General features: G+C 34.7%; 1 annotated feature.

Annotated features, from left to right (window-relative positions):
• Window positions 1,001-1,501: an enhancer, noted in NCBI's record as "H3K4me1 hESC enhancer chr18:38262030-38262530 (GRCh37/hg19 assembly coordinates)". NCBI's record gives its function as "activates a minimal SCP1, AML or CMV promoter by ChIP-STARR-seq in primed H9 embryonic stem cells {active_cell/tissue: H9 hESC(primed)}" and the evidence as "EXISTENCE:reporter gene assay evidence [ECO:0000049][PMID:30033119]".

Genomic DNA, 2,262 nt, shown 5'->3' on the forward strand with positions numbered 1-2,262 from the left:
TTTTGCCCATTTGTTCTTATCCTGAGGTCATGAAAACATCTAACTCTACTATCTTCCAGAAGCTATATTGTCTTGCCTTTGACCTTAAGGATTATGGTCTTGAATTAATTTTTGTATGTGTAAGTGACCACACAAACTTGTTAGAAATCTAGTTTCAAGTATTTTTTTCATATGGATTCAAATTACACCACCAGTACACGCATATTGAAAAAAAGTATTTTTCTACTGTTTTGCAATGGAAATATTGATATAAATCAAGTACCCATATATGCACAGGTCAGTTTATGAACTTGCTATTTTGTTGTACTGGTTTGTTTGTATATATTTTTTGCCCTGATAAGACACTGCCTTAGTTATTGCAACTTCTGTTATAAGCTTTGAGATCTGAGAAAGAAAGTTATTCCAGCTACTTATTTTGTATTTGCTATCTTTGGTCTTTTGCATTTATATAAATTTTATAATCAGTTTGTCAATTACTAAAACAAAATGTACTGGGATTTTGATTGGGACTGCATTGAATATAAAGATCAATATGGAGAGTATTGACTTCTTCAAAATGTTGAGTCTTCCAGGCCATGAAGAGGGAATATCCTTTTAATTATTTAGGACATCATTAATTTTTCTAAATAAATAAGTGCAATTCCTTTCCAGAGGTCTTCACATATCTGGTTAACTTTTGTTCTTGTGTATATTTATGCTATTATAAATGCTAAACATGGTTACTTTCCCTTTCTGTTGGTTAGCGATACATAGAAATGGAATTTCTTTTTGAATATTCAATCCGCGTATTAGTTTTCTAATGGTGTTGTGACGAATTACACCAACTTAGTGGCTTTAAAACAACACCCATTTATTATCTCACAGTTTAATCAGTTAGAAGTCTGGACTCAGCGTGGCTCAGTTGGATGTCTTTCTAGAGGCTCTGTGGACGATTTTTTTCCCAACATCATGAAAATTATTGGCATAATTCAGTTCCACGGAGTTACAGGACTGATTTCCCTTTTTTTTCTTACTAGCTTTAGCCAGGGTTTATTCTCAGCTTCGAGAGGGCACTCACATTCTTGGCTCATTCCTCCATCTTGAAAGCCAGCAATAGTGAGTCAACTTCTTCTCTTGTTTTAAGTTTCTGTGACCTCACTTTCTGCTTCATCTCTTTTCTGCTTCATCTCTTCTCCGCCTCCTTCTCTGTCAGATCTCTCTTACTTTTCTGCCTTCCTTTTCTGCTTTTAAGTGCTCCAGTTATTACATTGGGCCCGACCAGGTAACCCAGGTTAACCACTCCATTTTAAAGTTAACTGATTAATAATCTTAATAACTTCTGGCCAGGTGCAGTGGCTCACGCCTGTAATCCCAGCACTTTGGGAGGCCGAGTCGCGTGGATCACGAGGTCAGGAGTTCAAGACCAGCCTGGCCAAGATGCTGAAACCCCGTCTCTACTAAAAATACAAAAAAATTAGCGGGGCGTGGTGGCAGGCCCCTGAATCCCAGCCACTCGGGAGGCTAAGGCAGAGAATTGCTTGAACCCAGGACGCAGAGCTTGCAGTGAGCCGAGATCATGCCACTGCACTCCAGCCTGGGTGACAGAGCGAGACTCGTCGAAAAATAAATAAATAACAAAATAAAAAATGACATCCAAACAATTCATGCACAATAGTATCTACACATGTGTTTGCTTGAATAATCAGAATATGGGACTCTTGAGAGTACATCACTAAAATTCTACCTACCACACCTTGTACCTGGCTTCCTTATCAAACTCACTTAACAATCTATTTATGTGTAGAATTTAATTTTTAGATTTTTAAATATATATACACACACATATATATGTAATCTTAAAATTTGACAGTTTTTATTTATTCCTTTGAAGTTATTATTTATTTTCCTTCTATTGATTACATGGGTTCACTAGTTAGGCCTTTTAATAAAACACAAAATATAAGTAATTTTTACTTTCAAAAGTTTTCAACATTTCCTCATAAGATATGTTTGTTATGTGATTGTTGTAGATTTTTAAAATCAAATTAAGGAAAATTCTTTCTTTTACAATTTTGCTAAGAGTTTTCCCACTAAAGGATGTTGAATTTTATCAAATGTAATTTCTGCATCTTTTTATGTCTGTGAATGTTCTCCTTTATTCTGTTAAAATCCTGAATTATGTTAATTTGTCTTTTGATTTTTAACCCAATCTTGTTTTCTAAAAATAAACCTAACTTGGATATCTTGGTTTAAACTTTACATATGGTGTTGAATTCACTGTAT

This window comes from Homo sapiens, chromosome 18 (genome assembly GCF_000001405.40).
Source record: "Homo sapiens chromosome 18, GRCh38.p14 Primary Assembly".
NCBI lineage: Eukaryota > Metazoa > Chordata > Mammalia > Primates > Hominidae > Homo > Homo sapiens.